The 18,347-nt window shown below is 35.5% G+C and overlaps 1 protein-coding gene across 2 annotated transcripts in view; it reads right to left on the reverse strand.

Annotated features, from left to right (window-relative positions):
* Positions 1-18,347, reverse strand: part of GBE1 (1,4-alpha-glucan branching enzyme 1) — a 271,943-nt gene that overhangs the window by 23,217 nt on the left and 230,379 nt on the right. Inside the window, exon 15 of one of the 2 annotated variants that reach the window (XR_007095662.1) lies at positions 631-5,355. The exons of the other annotated variant lie outside the window; for it this stretch is intronic. The gene's annotated coding sequence lies outside the window, so the exon portion shown is untranslated. Of the gene's footprint in view, positions 1-630; positions 5,356-18,347 lie in introns of those variants that run through there. 2 annotated transcript variants of the gene reach the window in all.

Below are 18,347 nucleotides of genomic sequence, written 5' to 3' on the forward strand. Positions count from 1 at the left end.
TTGAAAAAAAATAAGCTTATATATATCTTAACCCAAGTAATTTTGTTTAATTTGAATGGGCTGAGCTAGGTTATACTAGAGTTTTTCAGTTTCAAAAATTTATAATTCCATGCTGCCCAGTTTTGCCTAACAGTCATTAAACATCACAAAATTGCCCACTGCTTGGTGAATAGGGCATAGGTCAAGGTGGGGAGAATCATTAGGGAACATCTTCATAGAGCTGATAGCTGAAGGGTGGGTGAATTTTTCAGGGAAAAGTGCAAGAAAAATGAATAAATGGATTTAGATCTTAAAAAAGATAACATGAAGAATAGGTGGAAAGAAAAAGAAATCAAGACAGTGCTGCAGGATACAGAGAAAGGGAAATAAGAAAGAAAGGTGGGCAAATAGTACAAGAGTGAGGAAGAGATTTAACAGGGAACAGAAGAGTTTCAATTCCAGTACTGCGAAAGGACTGAAAGGAATCACTGTGTCGTGGTGAAATGGGAACTAGGACATGCGAAAAAACAAAAATCAAAAAACAAAACACTATGTGCTAGAGGGCAAAGAGTTGGAGTTCTGTCTTAGGAAAATCAAGGCCCGGAAAGGCAAATATATCCTCGTTTTGTCTTCACCCATGTAATAAAGGTGTTTATTGTTTTGTTCCCCCAAAAAAAAAACAAAAAACAAAAAGTAGGACAATAGAAAAAAGACAACAGACAGGATTAGTACCTATTTGTCTTTCTTTTTTATAAAAATTCATTTTTATTATAAAGTTTCTAATGCATTTTTAGAAGATGATGACAGTAAGGATGTCCATTACCCTTACTACTTGCTAAGCTCAAACGTGGGCGACACTGTTGTTAAGCCTTGCATGCATGTTAACTAATCATGAACTAATTTAATTCTGACAACAATTCTATGAATAGGTGTTCTAGAGATAATAACCAAGAAACAAAGAGGCTATTTTCAAAACAAAACTAAGTGGCAGAGATGGAACTTGAACCTCAGATAGTCAATATTCTAGAGCTCAAGCTAACCACTATCCTTGCAATGAGAGCAAATTTCTTTATGTTTACAAATATAAGAACAAGAAATACCTATTACCTCTGGAGACCTTTGTTACATGAGCCAATGGGAAATAAAAATGTTAGAAGTAGAGAACAAACTGAAGAAAATAATGTTTCAGAATTAGAAAATAATGCTACTACAGGAGAAAATTGTTTTTCCTTTGTTTTCTTCAGCTGGCAAAAAGGACAGATGTTAATAGGGAGGCTGGCAAAGTGAAAATTGGCTCTCTCTCTAAATAATAAAGAACACATGAGAAAAAAAAACCCAGTAATGTTTATAATTTTACATACAAACATAATAATTTTTCATTTTAATTAATGTTCTTGAAATAAAATGATCATTGTGTGACAATAAAACGTACTGAGTGTAATCATTTCATTCAGTTATATGTTAATTAAATAATTTTATTTGATATTATCTAAACACTTTCCTTATTCAACAGCTGATACCACATAACTACAAAAAATAACCATAATTAATTTTGTAAATTAATGCTTATTTATAGGAATTAATTAGGCATTTTCCCATCATTAGGCCAACAGAAACTACATTAATAGAATTAGAGATGGTTCTTATGCATGATTACAACTGAATCCACTGCTTCCAAGAACACACTGTTTTTGGCTCTAATATTTCCAACTTTCTCTGAGAAACAGAAACTTCTTTTGGTTGCAGCTTTCAAAAATGCTTAGGAGCCCGTAGGTAATTTTAGCGAGCCAGTAATTATATCACATCTTAATTTTAAGAAATCATCTGGGATACTCAGGTAATACTTTTATGTAAATAAAACACTGACCACTCAGTTTGATCCTGTGAGATTCTGATTAAGAAGAGCTTCACGGAAAATGTCAGAAACACGAATAATATCTCACGTAGGCAGGCAGGAGATACTCATTGAAAAAGGTAATTTCTACTGGCCAGAAGGAAAAGTAATATAACATCCATGTCATAAATTTAGTTTAGACATAGAATGCTCTATTTAAAACACACTGGTATCAGGTATAAAGATGACTAATACAATTTATTTTTTAAATAGAAAAAAAAACATATATTTTGGATAAATTAAGTAAAGCCTAACTTTAAAAGGAAAGGCTCAATGTGAAATCTTTCAGGCCAATGATACTACTGCACCAGCATAGCTCATTTTATCGCACTTTATTGCACTTTACAAATACACATTTTTACAAATTGAAGATTTGTAGCAACGCTGCATCCAGCAAGTGTATTCGTGCCATTTTCCAATAGCATGTGTTCACTTTGTGTCTCTGTGTCACATTTTGGTAGTTCTTGCATTATTTCAAACTTTTTCATTATTAATATATATTAATATATGATTGTCTATTCATAATTATATTATTTTTACATTATCATTATGTCTATGATGATGATCTGTGACCAGTGATCCTTGTTACTATTGTAATTGTTTTGGGGCACCACAAATCATGCACATATGCAACCACAAACTTAATAAATGTGTGTGTTGACTCCTCCAACCTACTGGCCGTTCCCTTGTCTCTTCCCCTTTTCTTGGGCCTCCGTATTGTCTAAGACCATATAGAATTTAGCCCAATTAATAACCCTACAATAGCCTCTAGGAGTTCAAATGAAAAGAAGAGGGGCATGTCTCTCACTTTAAATCAAAAACTAGAAATGATTAAGCTTAGTGAGAAAGGCATGTTCAAAGTTGAGACAGGACAAAGGCTAGGTCCCTTATGCCAAAGAGTTAGCCAAGTTGTGAACGCAAAGGAAAAGTTCTTCAAAGAAATAAGAAGTGCTACTCTAGTGAACGCATGAGTGATAGGACAGTGAACACCAGCCTACTGCTGATAGGAAGAAGTTTTTGGTGGTCTGGATCTAAGATCAAACTAGCCACAACATTCCCATAAGTCAAAGCCTAATCCAGCAAGGCCCTAGCTCTCTTCAATTCTATGAAGGCTGGGAGAGGTGAGGAAGCTGCAGAAGAAAAGTTTAAAGCTAGGAGAGACTGGTTCTTAAGGTTTAAGGAATAAAGACATCTTCATAACATAAAATTTTAAGGTGAAGTAGCAAGTGCTGATGTAGAAGCTGTAGCAAGTTTTCCAGAAGATCTAGCTAGGATATTGATAAACGTGACTACACTAAACAATGGATTTTCAGTGTAGATGAAGCAGGCTTCCATTGAAAGATGCCATCTGGGACTTTCATAACTACTGGGAAGACAGTATCTGGTTTCAAAGTTCCAAAGAACAGGATGACTCTCTTGTTATGGGCTAATGCAGCTGGTGACTTTGAGTTGAAGCCAATGTTCATTTACTGTTTCCAAAAACCTATGCCCTTATGAATTATGCTAAAGTCTACTCTGCTTGTGCTCTATAAATGTAACCACAAAGCCTGGATGACAGCATGTCTGTTTACAGCATGGTTTACTGAGCCTGTAAGCCCAAGCTTGAGACCTATTTCTCAGAAAAAAGATTCCTTTCAAATATTACCTGATTGATGAAAGCATCTGGTCACCCAAGAGCTCTGACTGAGATGTACAAGGAAATTAATGTTGTTTTCAAGCCATCTAATACAACATGCACTCTGCACCCTATGGATCAAGAAGTAATTTCAACTTTCAACTCTTATTAAGAAATATATTTTGTAAGACTATAGCTGTCATAAGCAGTGATTCCTCTAATGAATCTCGGCAAAGCAAATTGAAAATCTTCTGGAAAGGATTCACCATTCTAGATGCCATTAAGAACATTTGTGATTCATGGGAGGAGGTTAAAATATCAACACAATAGGAGTTTGGAAGAAGTTAATTCCAACTCTCATAGATGACTTTGAGAAACTCAAGACTTCAGTGGAAGAACTAACTGCAGATGCAGTGGAAATTGAAAGATAACTAGAATTAGAAGTGAAACCTAAAGACGTGACTGAATTGCTGCAGTCTCGTGATAAAACTTTAATGGATGAGGAATTGCTTCTTACAGATGAGCAAAGAATATGGTTTCTTGAGATGGAGTCTATTACTGATGAAGATGCCAGAGATGGCAACAAATGATTTGGAATATAATATAAACCTAGGTAATCTTTATCAACTAAGTGGTGGGGTTTCAGAGGATTCACTCTAATTTTGAAAGAGTTCTACTGTGGGTAAAATGTTACCAAACAGCATCACATGTTACAGAGAAATCTTTCATAAAAGGAAGAGTCAATCCATGTAATAAACTTCATTGTTGTCTTAGCCACCACAACCTTTAGAAACCCCACCCTGATCAGTCAGGAGCCATTAACATCAAGGCAAGAGCCTCCATGAGCAAAAAGATTATTACTTACAGAAGGCTCAGATGACCATTAACATCTTTTAGCATACAGTATTTTTAAATTATGGCATGTACATTTTTTTTTAGACATAAGGCTATTGCACACTTATTAGACTACAGTATAGTATAAACATAACTTCTATATGTATTGTGAACCAAAAAATTTGTGTGACTTGCTATATTGCAATATTTGCTTTATTCCAGTGGTCTGGAACCCAATCTGCACTGTCTCCAAGTTATGCCTGTAGATTGCCTTCTTCCATATTTGCAGTCTAGGAAAAGAAATGGTTAGCTAATGTGGTAATGAGTATAAAATACTTTCAGAGTGCAGGACATATATTAAGTTTATAAGAGACAGTAGATCTTATTATGAAGATCTGCTCAGCAAGCACATCATAGTATAATAATATATTAATTGTGAATTCTACAAAATTATGATGTATTTTATTGATAATAGCTTATCAATTTTTATACCATTTAATTAAATTACTGTTTTAAGGGAGAAGCAAATCATTTTAGTACTATTTGTCTTTTAATTACATAATTTTAAACCTTCAGGAGTTATTTCACCACTAGGTAGCTACATACTCCATTTATCCATCCATCCTTCCATCTGTCAGTCAGTCTATCAGTTCATCAACCCCTCTATCCATACTCCTATCAGAGATTTAGCTCTCTGTTTACAGGTACCTAGTGTATTCTAAGTAAACATATCATTGTTGATATATAGGTAATACTCTGTCTTATCATCCATCTCGAAGTTTACAAACACATAATAGTATCTCCTTTTTAAAAATTGATGAAAATGATCACCTTGGGCACAAATGTTCCTCCCCCCCAAACCCCAATGAAGGATACTATTACTAGGTGATTATGCACTGTCTTCTTTAAAGGTTATGACAATATTTCTGATATATTTTTCCTCCAGAAGGGCAAGAAATAGAAGACAGAAATTTTGACTGGGCTATTGTTAGATGACTTTCTGAAGTGAAGAGACCATCATTGCACAACTGAGCTATGAAACAAAAAAACCAGAACTGCTGTTAAATATTTGACAGCACCGTGATGGCTATTCAAAACAACAGGCCCCTGGTCCCCCTTCAAGAAAAAACCCCAAAACTAAATACATTCGTGTGCAGTAAGGACTTGCTCACTATTCATTACTGCCTATAATCTTATGAATATATATTAAGGCAATCTAAAAGTGTTATAGCAGTTGCAATATTTTAATCATGCAAAATATTTTTCTTACTTGGTGATTCATCCCTAATTCCTGGGTAGAGAAATGAAGCTAAATCATAGGCTTTTTATGACCAGGGAGGTGAGGGTACTGGTCTGTCATTATCATTAAATCATAGGGATTGTTAGACAGTGTTTAGCAATGAAAAAATGATCAAAAGGACCTCTATGTTTAAAAGTATTAGTCATTTCAAAACTAAAGAAAGTGAACCTAAGCAATGAGCATGCATCCATTATAAAGCTATTTTAAAAAAGGAGGACCTATATTAAATATAAAATTGTTAGTAGGATCATCTGTCTCAGCTCTCATAAAGCTCATCATCAATAAATTGCAGCATAACATAAAGGAAAAAGAAACATGCCTGTATCTGGTGAAAGTCACTGTGTAGAACTTCTGGAGAAAACCCTGAATTTGCTTTTTTACCAAAGTATCTAAAACCTGGAAAACTAGAAAGTTGAGATGCTCTATTTAGTCAGACCAGAAATTATCCTTTACATATATAATCTGGATAGAATGTGGTAGTTAGCTAATCCTAAATTAAGTCCTTTGTTTTTATTTGTTGCAAAAAGCATAGATTCTAATAAACACAGTGTTACATCACCACACTTCAAAGCCTTCTGTAAACCAAGCAACTCATAGCAACATCTCTGCCTTCAGCAATCACACTGCAGTAAATCATCCAAGTGACCTTATTTGCTTATTAGAAACTCTGTGTACAGGTTGCAAATGTCAGAGTATGAATTTACATTTTAAAAAGTGCATCTTGCAGTGGTTTAATGAAAATATTTCAACTATCTCAGGTCAAATTCAACTATTTATACCTCTGCTCTCTTGGGTTTAAAGATTTAGTCCTAGATTCACATATTCTTCACAAGCCATACCTCATGAACACTCCTCTTAACGTCACAACATTGTAACAGTTTGAAATGCCATTTGGAAAGGGGGCTGTTACTACACTATCATTTCCACTCCCACCTCAAAAGTATGCTGATAAATAATTTAAACATTTGATTCTTGTGTTGTTTATGGTCTCAGAATGATATTTATCTGTATATACCAACACAAACACTTTATAAATAAGCTGGGGGGGGTTAAAATTTCTATTGTATATCATGTATTAACTTAAACTGATGTAATACATCAGTTTAACTCTGAAAATAGAACCATGACACATTCATATTCTACTCTAGAATACAGAAAAAAAAATCACAATAATTGAACTTCACATGTAAGTTTTGCTTTAAAATTATTTTTCTTCTTGTGGAAGATGGCAAACAAGATCACCAAGAAGAATTTCTGGGGAAGAATTTGTCAGAGGTTATGGCAGGGCAGTGAGAAAAGTGAGTTGATTAGAAAGAAACCTGCCTGGGCCACAAGTCTGTATGTAATTTTCTTATTCTACTTATATTCCCAGAAGTATTTTCAAAATTATTTTGAACATTACAGAAATAAATCATCAATAATACCACCATTGCTACCACCCCCAACCACATGTACATACTCCAGGAACAGAAAGAGGCACCAGGGTGTAACAGAAAGAATATGGGCTATGGAAAACACTGCTTAACCTTTACCTGCCATGGGCTGGAGGGAAGGCTTCAGTTAATTAAAGGCCTCAGTCTCTACAACGTGCCTTATAGTGTGGCCCAAAATACAGTCACAAGTTGCTTTGTGCACTTCACTTTATTGTGCTTTGCAGATACTGTGTTTTTTTCAAATTGAAAGTTTGTGGAAACCCTGGCTGGGCAACTCTGTCGGTGCCATTTTTCTAACAGTATATGCTCACTGCATGTCTCCGCATCACATTTTGGTAATTATCGCAACGTTTCAAACTTTTTCATTATTACTATACTATATTAAACTGAATACTTTATAAAAATGATTAGCAAATAGAAGGCCCACAAAAGAGGGGCCCTAATACTCACATTCTCCCCACATCATTTAAAATGTGGTATAATCATTTGTATTGTTCAAATGCATTAGAAAGAGCACTCTGGTCTTGGGAACAGAGTATTCTTTCTGATTTAATGCCAACTTGATAATGTTCTAGGTGAAGAAATGCCACTAAAGAAATATAATAATGATTCTGATGATATAAAAGGCATTATGTTTCTTTCTTTACAGCTAAACAATGTGAAAACTTAAGTGAATATAATACATCAGGAAAATGTATTTTATCTTTCTAAGCATGAAATATGAAACCTGCCTATTTATTAAGTACATGTAGGTCTCAGCATTACCCACATTTCTATCTATTGCATTAAAGAATATTGGTGATTATTACACTGAAGATTAGCAGCTAAAAAGACAAATGTGAGAGTATACAGGCAAAAGGTTTTTGTTGTCGTTTTGTTTCTTGATTTTTTTCCTAGAATATGGCTGTAGATTCTACTGCAGAAACAATTATAAGATGTCCTTTGGTAGTCACCATGAAGGCCACATTCAAAGCTTTATTGATACAAATCAGTCTTGCCTCTCAGTTTTCCAAACGTATTCTCTTATTTTGAAGAGATAGTTAAAAGCATCCTTAGTGTTTCTTCTACCTTGCCTGGCATTACCTCCAAAACAGCTCCCCTTCCAACAGTTTTTGGGATGGCAGTCACCATCTATTCTCCACAGGTTTGAGTGAAAATTGATGTCTTGCTATTTGATATACAAGATCTACAGGTTCAAAAAAATTGAACCTGTTCAAAAATTCAGACATGTTACCTATAGCAGGGTTATATTTCCTAGGGACAGAGGAAGTTTAAGTGGCTTCTTTAGAAAAGTTAAATTTATTCTGGCACCAAATCCTGCTTCCCAGGGAATTAAAAATTTGATGAATTTTATTACTTGATTAACACATGCAATCTTGCCATGGTAGACTCTTCACAGTAAAAATCTGTATTCAATTCACTTGCTCAGTAGTTAGAAATACCAATGGCATAGAATATTTTGCTAAAGACAGAAAATATACCATTGAAATCCTAATTTTTAATATTTTGTATATCTGAATTCATTCTATAATATTGAACTACACTGTAGGTTAAAAGTACAAGAATAAAGTCAGAAAGATAAAAGGCCAAAATGAGACAAAAAATGCAAGGGAGAAGAAAAAGGACTCTTAAAGCTAAGCTTGGAACAACAAAAAGTTAAAAGAAGAGATCCATTTGCTGGTTATGGGAGATGCTACAATCCTAACAGATTAATAACAGAGAATTGTCCTGTAATATTCTTTTATCTTTTCTAATAGGTTAGAGGGTCAAAGTTAATATTGTACTTTTCCAAGTTTAATGTTAAATTTGGGATTTTAGGTTGAAATTATTAACTGAATAAATAAAGAAAAAGGAAGATATGACACAATACTAGGATACAAAAGAAAAACCCAAGATTTTTGTTTGGATGGAAATACAATGTGAAAGGAAAATGTGATGGCTGCCAGGAAAGCTAATGCAACTTTAACTCCATGAATAAGAGAGCAGCATCAAAATAAAGGAAGGTAATGGGGCTCTGTATGTCATACTTGCCAGACCGTATCTAGAATACTCTGCTGTTAGTGTAGGAGGAATGTGAACAATGCTGGGTGCATTTTAATAAGGGAGATGCAATGGTAAGAGGTCTGGAAAGTATCATGAGAATCGATTTAAGAAACTAGCCATATCTGGTCTGGAAGAGGAAAAAGCAGGGAGAGGTGGTAATCTAAGAAGCATGTTAAATGCCTTTCTGATTTGAATAGCTGGCACATAGAACAGGTGTTAGCCTCAGAGTACAGAACTAATGCGTTGATTTTAAGATAACATTTTTATTTATTAAAAAACAATACTGTTTATCTTGTGAAACAGTGATATTCTTAGCACTGCAAAGTATTCGAATAACAGGTGATTATTTGTAAGAAATTTCTAGATGGGACTTCTGCACTGAACTGGGAGGGTGGAGCAGAGTACCTCACAAAAGGAAGATGTTGTGATTTCAGTCTCAGAGTTATGGCTGGTGTTATTAAAATATACTTAATTAGAAGGTGCGTTGTAAATTATGTTGGAAATGCTCTCCTGCTCCCTTCCTGCCCCCCCCAAATTTAAAATATATAAAGTAAAAAACATGATACAATTCTCCCATTACCTATTTAGACCATTACATCTTCAATACTTTGTGAGTATTCAAAGAGAATTATTAAAATGCAAATATTCTCAGAAAAAGCAATAATGTATGTGAATTTACTACTTGTTAACAGAAAGACATGGAAGAGATGGGTGGTAAGAATAATTAAAGTCCAAGTGGGCACAAATCTGTAACAGGCAAAATGTGGGAAATAGGTCAACAATATTTCTTCATGGTTCTCTTGGAGACCAATTAGATGACTGAGGATTCAACTATAATTTCTATAAAGAGACGACTCAGTTTTCCAATGTCTGTATCATTGCAACTTATAACTAGTATAGCTTCCAGAAGAGGTGACTAATGTAAAAACATTGAGTATTTATTTATTAAAATAGAAAATTTTCATGTAAAAATTACCTATAGACATTTAAGCAGATAACTAAATTTCAGAAGACCCAATTTGTGTCAAGATTTTCAAAACCGAACCAGGCTTTCATATACAGTGTAATTCTGTGTCAGTATATATAAACTAACATTTGGGGGTCTTGCTGACTTATGGGGGTCACAGTAATACACTATGCTATATAATATATATAATACATATATTATTATGTATGCTTTCATAATATTCAATATTTGTTAAAGTTAATATATTAATATATTTTAGATAGATCCTTATAGCTTGACCCAGGATTTTTCTCCTAAATATCATCATGGAAAATTCTATACATTTCCATTTGTTGACAATGATAAAATGATTTTTTAATTTAAATTTAAAATTGTTATGGGTATATAGTAGGTATATATGTTTATGGGGTACCTGAGATATTTTGATACAGGATACAATATGTAATAATCACATCAGGGTAAATAGAGTATCCATCATCTCAAGCATTTATCCTTTTTTTGTGTTACAAACATTCCTATTACACTTTTAGTTATTTTAAAATGTAGAATAAATTACTGTTGACTGCAGTCACCCTGTTGTGCTATCAAATATTAGGTCTTATTCATTCTATCAAACTATGCTTTTGTAGCCATTAAGCATTCCATTTCCCTCTCACTACCCCACTACCCTTCTCCAGCCTCTGGTAACCATCCTTCTACTCTCTTATCTCCATGAGATCAACTGTTTTAATTTTTAGCTTCCATAAATGAGTGAAAACATGCAAAGTTAGTTTTTCTATTCCTGGCTTATTTCACTGAACATAATGACCTCCAGTTCCATCCATATTGTTGCAAATAACAAGATCTCATTCCTTTTATGGCTGAATAGTATTCCGTTGTGTATATGTACTATATTTTCTTTGTTCATTCGTGTACTGATGGACACTTAGGCTGATTCCAAATCTTGGCTATAGTGAACAGTGCTACAATAAAAGAGGAGCGCAAATATCTGCTCCATATACTGATTTCTTTACTTTTGGGTGTATACCTAGCAGTGGGATTGCTGGATCATATGGTAGTTATATTTTTAGCTTTTCTGAGTAATCTCCATACTGTTCTCCATACTGGCTGTACTGATTGACAACCCCACCAACAGTGTATGAGGGTTCTACTTGCTCCACATCCTCACCAGGATCGTTACTGCCTGTCTTTTGGAAAAAAGTTATTTTAACTGGGGTGAGATTTCTCATTGTAGGTTTGATTTGCATTTCTTTTACAATCAGTGATGCTGAGCACCTTTCCATACACCTGTTTGTCATTTGTATGTCTTCTTGAGATGTATATTCAGATCTTCTGCCCATTTTTAAATAAGATTATTAAATTTTTTCCTATTGTTTGAGCTCCTTATGTATTCTAGTTATTAATCCTTTGCCAGATGGACAGTTTGCAAATATTTTTCCCATAATGTGGATTGTCTCTTCCCTGTTTCCTTTGTTGTGCAGAAGCTTTTTAACTTGCTCTCATCTCATTTGTACATTTTTGCTTTGATTGCCTATGCTTAGTTTAGGCATAAACTATGTCTAAGATTTCAGTCTTTAATCCACTTTGATTTGTTTTTTGTATATAATGAGAGATAGGGATCTAGCTTCATTTTTCCACATAAGGATATCCAGTTTTCCCAGCACCGTCTATTGAAGAAACTGTCCTTTCCCCATTGTATGTTCTTGGCACCTTTGTTGAAAATGAGTTCACTGTAGATACATGGATTGATTTCTGGTTTTATATTCTGTTCTACTGGTATTTGTGTCTGTTTTTATGGCATTACCATGCTGTTTTGGTCACTATAGCTCTGTAGTATAATTTGAAGTCAGGTAATGTGATTGTTCCAGTTTTGTTCTTTTTGTGCAACATGTCTTTTGCTATTCTGGGTCTTTTATGATTTCAAGTAAATTTTAGGATTGTTTTTCCATTTATTTGACAAATATCATTGGTATTTTGATAGGGATTCTTAATTTCGTTCTTGACCTAGCCTTGGATTGGTATGGTCATTGGTATACGGCCATTCAGGAATATATTGTTCTATTTGAATGTGTTTGTATAGTTTCTAAAATTCTTCTTGTTATTAATTTATGGTTTTATTCCATTTTGGTCAGAGAAGATGCTTGATATTATTTCAATATTTTTGAATATTTTAGGATTTCCTTTGTGGCCTAACATATGGTCTATTTTTAAGAATGTTCCATCAATACCTAATTTATTGAGAGTTTGTAGCATGAAGGGCTGTTGAATTTTGTCAAAGGCCTTTTCTTCATCTATTGAGATAATCATGTGGTTTTTGTCATTGGTTCTGTTTATATGCTGGATTACATTTAGTGATTTGCATATGTTGAACCAGCCTTGCATCCCAGGGATGAAGCCCACTTGATCATGGTGGATAAGCGTTTTGATGTGCTGCTGGATTCGGTTTGCCAGTATTTTATTGAGGATTTTTGCATCAACGTTCATCAGGGATATTGGTCTAAAATTCTCTTTTATTTGTTGTGTCTCTGTGAGGCTTTGGTATCAGGATGATGCTGGCCTCATAAAATGAGTTAGGGAGGATTCCCTCTTTTGTTATTGATTGGAATAGTTTCAGAATGAATGGTACCAGCTTGTCCTTGTACCTCTGGTAGAATTCGGCTGTGAATCCATCTGGTCCTGGACTTTTTTTGGTTGGTAAGCTATTAATTATTGCCTCAATTTCAGAGCCTGTTATTGGTCTATTCAGAGATTCAACTTCTTCCTGGTTTAGTCTTGGGAGAGTGTATGTGTCGAGGAATTTATCCATTTCTTCTAGATTTTCTGGATTATTTGCGCAGAGGTGTTTCTAGTATTCTCTGATGGTAGTTTGTATTTCTGGGGGTTGGTGGTGATATCCCCTTTATCATTTTTTATTGCATCTACTTGATTCTTCTCTCTTTTCTTCTTTATTAGTCTTCCTAGCGGTCTATCAATTTTGTTGATCTTTTCAAAAAACCAGCTCATGGATTCATTGATTTTTTGAAGGGTTTTTTATGTCTCTAATTCCTTCAGTTCAGCTCTGATCATAGTTATTTCTTGCCTTCTGCTAGCTTTTGAATGTGTTTGCTCTTGCTTCTCTAGTTCTTTTAATTGTGATGTTAGGGTGTCAATTTTAGATCTTTCCTGCTTTATCTTGTGGGCATTCAGTGCTATAAATTTCCATCTACACACTGCTTTGAATGTGTCCCACAGATTCTGGTATGTTGTGTCTTTGTTTACGACAAACCCACAGCCAATATCATACTGAATGGGCAAAAACTAGAAGCATTCCCTTTGAAAAGTGGTACAAGACAGGGATGCCCTCTCTCACCACTCCTATTCAACATAGTGTTGGAAGTTCTGGCCAGGGCAATCAGGCAGGAGAAAGAAATAAAGGGTAATCAATTAGGAAAAGAGGAAGTCAAATTGTCCCTGTTTGCAGATGACATGATTGTATATCTAGAAAACCCCATTGTCTCAGCCCAAAATCTCCTGAAGCTGATAAGCAACTTCAGCAAAGTCTCAGGATGCAAAATCATGTGCAAAAATCACAAGCATTCTTATACAACAATAACAGACAAACAGAGAGCCAAATCATGAGTGAACTCCCATTCACAATTGCTTCAAAGAGAATCAAATACCTAGGAATCCAACTTACAAGGGATGTTAAGGACCTCTTTAAGGAGAACTACAACCACTGCTCAATGAAATAAAAGAGGATACAAACAAATGGAAGAACATTCCCTGCTCATGGGTAGGAAGAATCAATATCATGAAAATGGCCATACTTCCCAAGGTAATTTACAGATTCAATGCCATCCCCATCCAGCTACCAATGACTTTCTTCACAGAATTGGAAAAAACTACTTTAAAGTTCATATGGAACCAAAAAAGAGCCCGCATTGCCAAGTCAATCCTAAGTCAAAAGAACAAAGCTGGAGGTATCACGCTACCTGACTTCAAACTATACTACAAGGTGACAGTAACCAAAACAGCATGGTACTGGTACCAAAACAGAGATATAGACCAATGGAACAGAACAGAGCCCTCAGAAATAATGCCGCATATCTACAACCGTCTGATCTTTGACAAATCTGACAAAAACAAGCAATGGGGAAAGGATTCCCTATTTAATAAATGGTGCTGGGAAAACTGGCTAGCCATATGCAGAAAGGTGAAACTAGATCCCTTCCTTACGCCTTATATTAAAATTAATTCAAGATGGATTAAATATTTACATGTTAGACCTAAAACCATAAAAACCCTAGAAGAAAACCTAGGCAATACCATTCAGGACATAGGCATGGGAAAGGACTTCATGTCTAAAACACCAAAAGCAATGGCAACAAAAGCCAAAATTGACAAATGGGATCTAATTAAACTAAAGAGCTTCTGCACAGCAAAAGAAACTACCATCAGAGTGAACAGGCAACTTACAGAATGGGAGAAAATTTTTGCAATCTATTCATCTGACAAAGGGCTAATATCCAGAATCTACAATGAACTCAAACAAATTTACAAGACAAAAACAACCCCATCAACAAATGGGCGAAGGATATGAACAGACACTTCTCAAAAGAAGACATTTATGCAGCCAAAAGACACATGAAAAAATGCTCATCATCACTGGCCATCAGAGAAATGCAAATCAAAACCACAATGAGATACCATCTCACACCAGTTTGAATGGTGATCATTAAAAAGTCAGGAAACAACAGGTGCTGGAGAGGATGTGGAGAAATAGGAACACTTTTACACTGTTAGTGGGAATGTAAACTAGTTCAACCATTGTGGAAGACAGTGTGGCGATTCCTCAGGCATCTAGAATGAGAAATACCATTTGACCCAGTCATCCCATTACTGGGTATATACCCAAAGGATTATAAATCATGCCGCTATAAAGACACATGCACACGTATGTTTATTGCGGCACTATTCACGATAGCAAAGACTTGGAACCAACCCAAAGGTCCAACAATGATAGACTGGATTAAGAAAATGTGACACATAAGCACCATGGAATACTATGCAGCCATAACAAATGATGAGTTCATGTCCTTTGTAGGGTCATGGATGAAGCTGGAAACCATCATTCTCAGCAAACTATCATAAGGACAAAAAACCAAACACTGCATGTTCTCACTCACAGGTGGGAATTGAACAATGAGAACACATGGACACAGGAAGGGGAACATCACACAGTGGGGCCTGTTGTGGGGTGGGAGGAGGGGGGAGGGGGGAGGGATAGCATTAGGAGATATACCTAATGTTAAATGACGAGTTAATGGGTGCAAGCACACCAACATGGCACATGTATACATATGTAACAAACCTGCATGTTATGCACATGTACCCTAAACTTAAAGTATAATTTTAAAAAAAGACAATCATAAAACAAAACAAAACAAAACAAAAGAATGTTCCATGAGCTGAGGAGAACTTGCCTTTTGCAGCCGTTGGATGAAATGTTCTGTAAATATGTATCAGGTGCATTTGGTCTATAGCACAGATTACATCTCAGGTTTCTTTGTTGATTTCCTGCCTGAAAGATTTGTCCAAAGGTGAAGGTGGGGTATTGAAGTCTCCAGCTGTTATTGGATTGAGGTGTATCTCTCTCTTTAGCTCTAATAATATTTGCTTTATATATATGGATGCTCCAGTGTGGGGTGCATATCTAGTTGTTATATTCTCTTGTTGAATTGACCCTTTGTCATTATATAATGACCTTATTTGTCTCTTTTTATAAGTTTTGTCTCACAATCTATATTATCTGATATTCATGCAGCTACTCTTGCTGTTTTATGCTTTCTGTTTGCATAGAATATCTTTTTCCATCCCTTTATTTGCTAGTCTATGAGTGCTTTTATAGGTGAAGCATGTTTATTGTAGGCAGTAGATATTTAGGTTTTGTATTTTTATCCATTAAGGTACTCTGTTTTTGATTGGAGAGTTCAGTCCATTTACATTTAATGTTATTTCTGATAAGGACTTATTGCTGCCATTTTGTTTTTTGTTTTCTGGTTGTCTTGTTGTCTTCCTTCTTGTCTTCCTTGTTGTGAAATTGATTGGTGATATGTTTTAATTTCTTGCTTTTTATTTTTTGTCTATCTGTGGTAGGCTTTTTGATTTGTGGTTCTCATGAGGCTTGCAAGTAACATCATATAATCCACTATTTTAAACTGATGACAACTTAACTATGATTGCAAAAACAAACAAGCAAAGAGAAAAACTGATAAAAACTCTACCTTTTAACTTCATCTTGCCAGCATTTTAACTTTTTGTTTGTATTTATATCTTATTATAATTTTGTCTATGTCTTAAAAAGCTGTTGTAGTTAGTTCGTGCAACACAGTTGAGGCCTTATCATATTCCATATTTGTCTGTGTACTTATTATTACGAGTTTTGTGACTTAAGGTTATTTCTTATTGCTTATTAACATCCTTTTCTTTAAAACTGAAGTACTCCCTTTAGCATTTCTTGTAGGTCAGGTTTAGTGTTAACAAAATCCCTCAGCTTTTGTTTGTCTGGGAAAGTCTTAATTTCTCCTTCATATTTGGAGGATATTTTTACTGGATATAACATTCTAGGATAAAAGTTTTGTTTTCCTTCAGCACTTTAAGTACGCCATGCCACTCTCTCCTGGCCTGTAAGGTTTCCACTGATAAGTATGCGGCTAGATGTATTGGAGCTCCTTTGTATGTTATTTGTTTATTTTCTCTTGCTGCTTTTAGGATCCTTTCTTTATCCTTGGCCTTTGGGAAATTGATTTTTAAATGTCTTGAGGTAGTATTATTTGGGTAAAATCTGCATTGTGTTCTACAACCTTCTTGTCCTTGAGTATTGATATCTTTCTCTGGGCTTGGAAAGTTCTCCGTTACTATCTCTTTGAATAAACTTTCTACCTGAATGAATCAGTCTCTCTCTCTCTCTCTCTCCATCCTCTTTAAGGCCAATCACTTTTAGATTTGCTTTTTTGAGGCTATTTTCTAGATCCTGTAGGCATGCTTCATTCTTTTTTGTTTTTTGTCTTTTCTATGCATTTTCACATACCTTGTCTTCAAGCTCACTAATTCTTCTGCTTGATCAATTCTGCTCTTGAGAAACTCTGATGCATTCTTCAGTTTGTCAACTGAATTTTTCAGCCCCAGAATTTCTGCTTGATTTTTTCAAAAGCATTTCAATCTCTCTGTTAAATTCATCTGATAGAATTCTAAATTCCTTCTCTGTTAAATTGCATTTCACGAGCTTCCTCAAAATTGCTATTTCATTTTTTTTTTTTTCTGTCAGAAAGGTCACATATCTCTGTCACTCCAGGATTGGTTACTGGTGATTTATTTAGTTTGTTTGGTGAGGTCATGATTTCCTGGAAGGTCGTGATGTTTGTGGATGTTTGCCAGTGTCTGGGCATTGAATAATTAGGTATTTATTGTAGCCTTCATGGGTCAGCCTTGTTTATACTGATCCTTGGGAAGGTTTTCTAAGTATTTGAAGACTTGGGTGTTGTGATCTAAGTCTTTGGTCATTGCAGTGGTATCCGTATTAAGGGGCTCCACTCTTGTTGACTCATAGAGGTACTACCTTGATGGTCTTAGTTAAGATCTGAGATAATTCACTGGATTATCAGGCAGAATCTCTTGTTCTCTTCCTTTACTTTCCCCTAAACAAAGGTCATCTCTCACTCTATCCTGAGCTGCCTGGAATTGGAGGAAGGGGTGATGCAAGCAAGTTCATTGCCAACACCACTGGGACTGTGCTGGGTCACACTTGAAGCCAGCACACTACTAGTCCTCACCGAAAGTCTCTGGTGACTATTGTCTGGGTACCAGTGATGTTTATTCAAAGGCCAAGGGTTCTTTAGTCAGCAAGTGGTGCATCCTGCCAGGCCTGGGTCCTTCCCTTTAGGGCAGTATGTTCCCTTCTGGCCCAGGGTAGGTCTAGGAATGCCATGCTGAAGCTATGGCCTGGCACTAGGAACTTTAGAAACCTACTTCATGCCATATTTTACTGTGGCTGAGGTGGCACCCACATTGCAAGCAATGTCCCTTTCACTCTTCTCTTTCCTTTCCTCAAGCAGAAGGAGCCTCTCTATCCATGGCCACCACCACCCCAAGGCCATGGCACCCACTGCCTGGTTACTGCTGATGTTTGTTCAAAGCCCAAGGGCTCCTTAGTCAGCAGTTGGTGAATCGTGCCAGAACTAGGTCTCTCCTTTCAGGGCAGTGGGTTCTCTTCTGGCTCAGGGAAGGTTGAGAAATGCCAGCTA

Source organism: Homo sapiens, chromosome 3 (genome assembly GCF_000001405.40).
Source record: "Homo sapiens chromosome 3, GRCh38.p14 Primary Assembly".
NCBI lineage: Eukaryota > Metazoa > Chordata > Mammalia > Primates > Hominidae > Homo > Homo sapiens.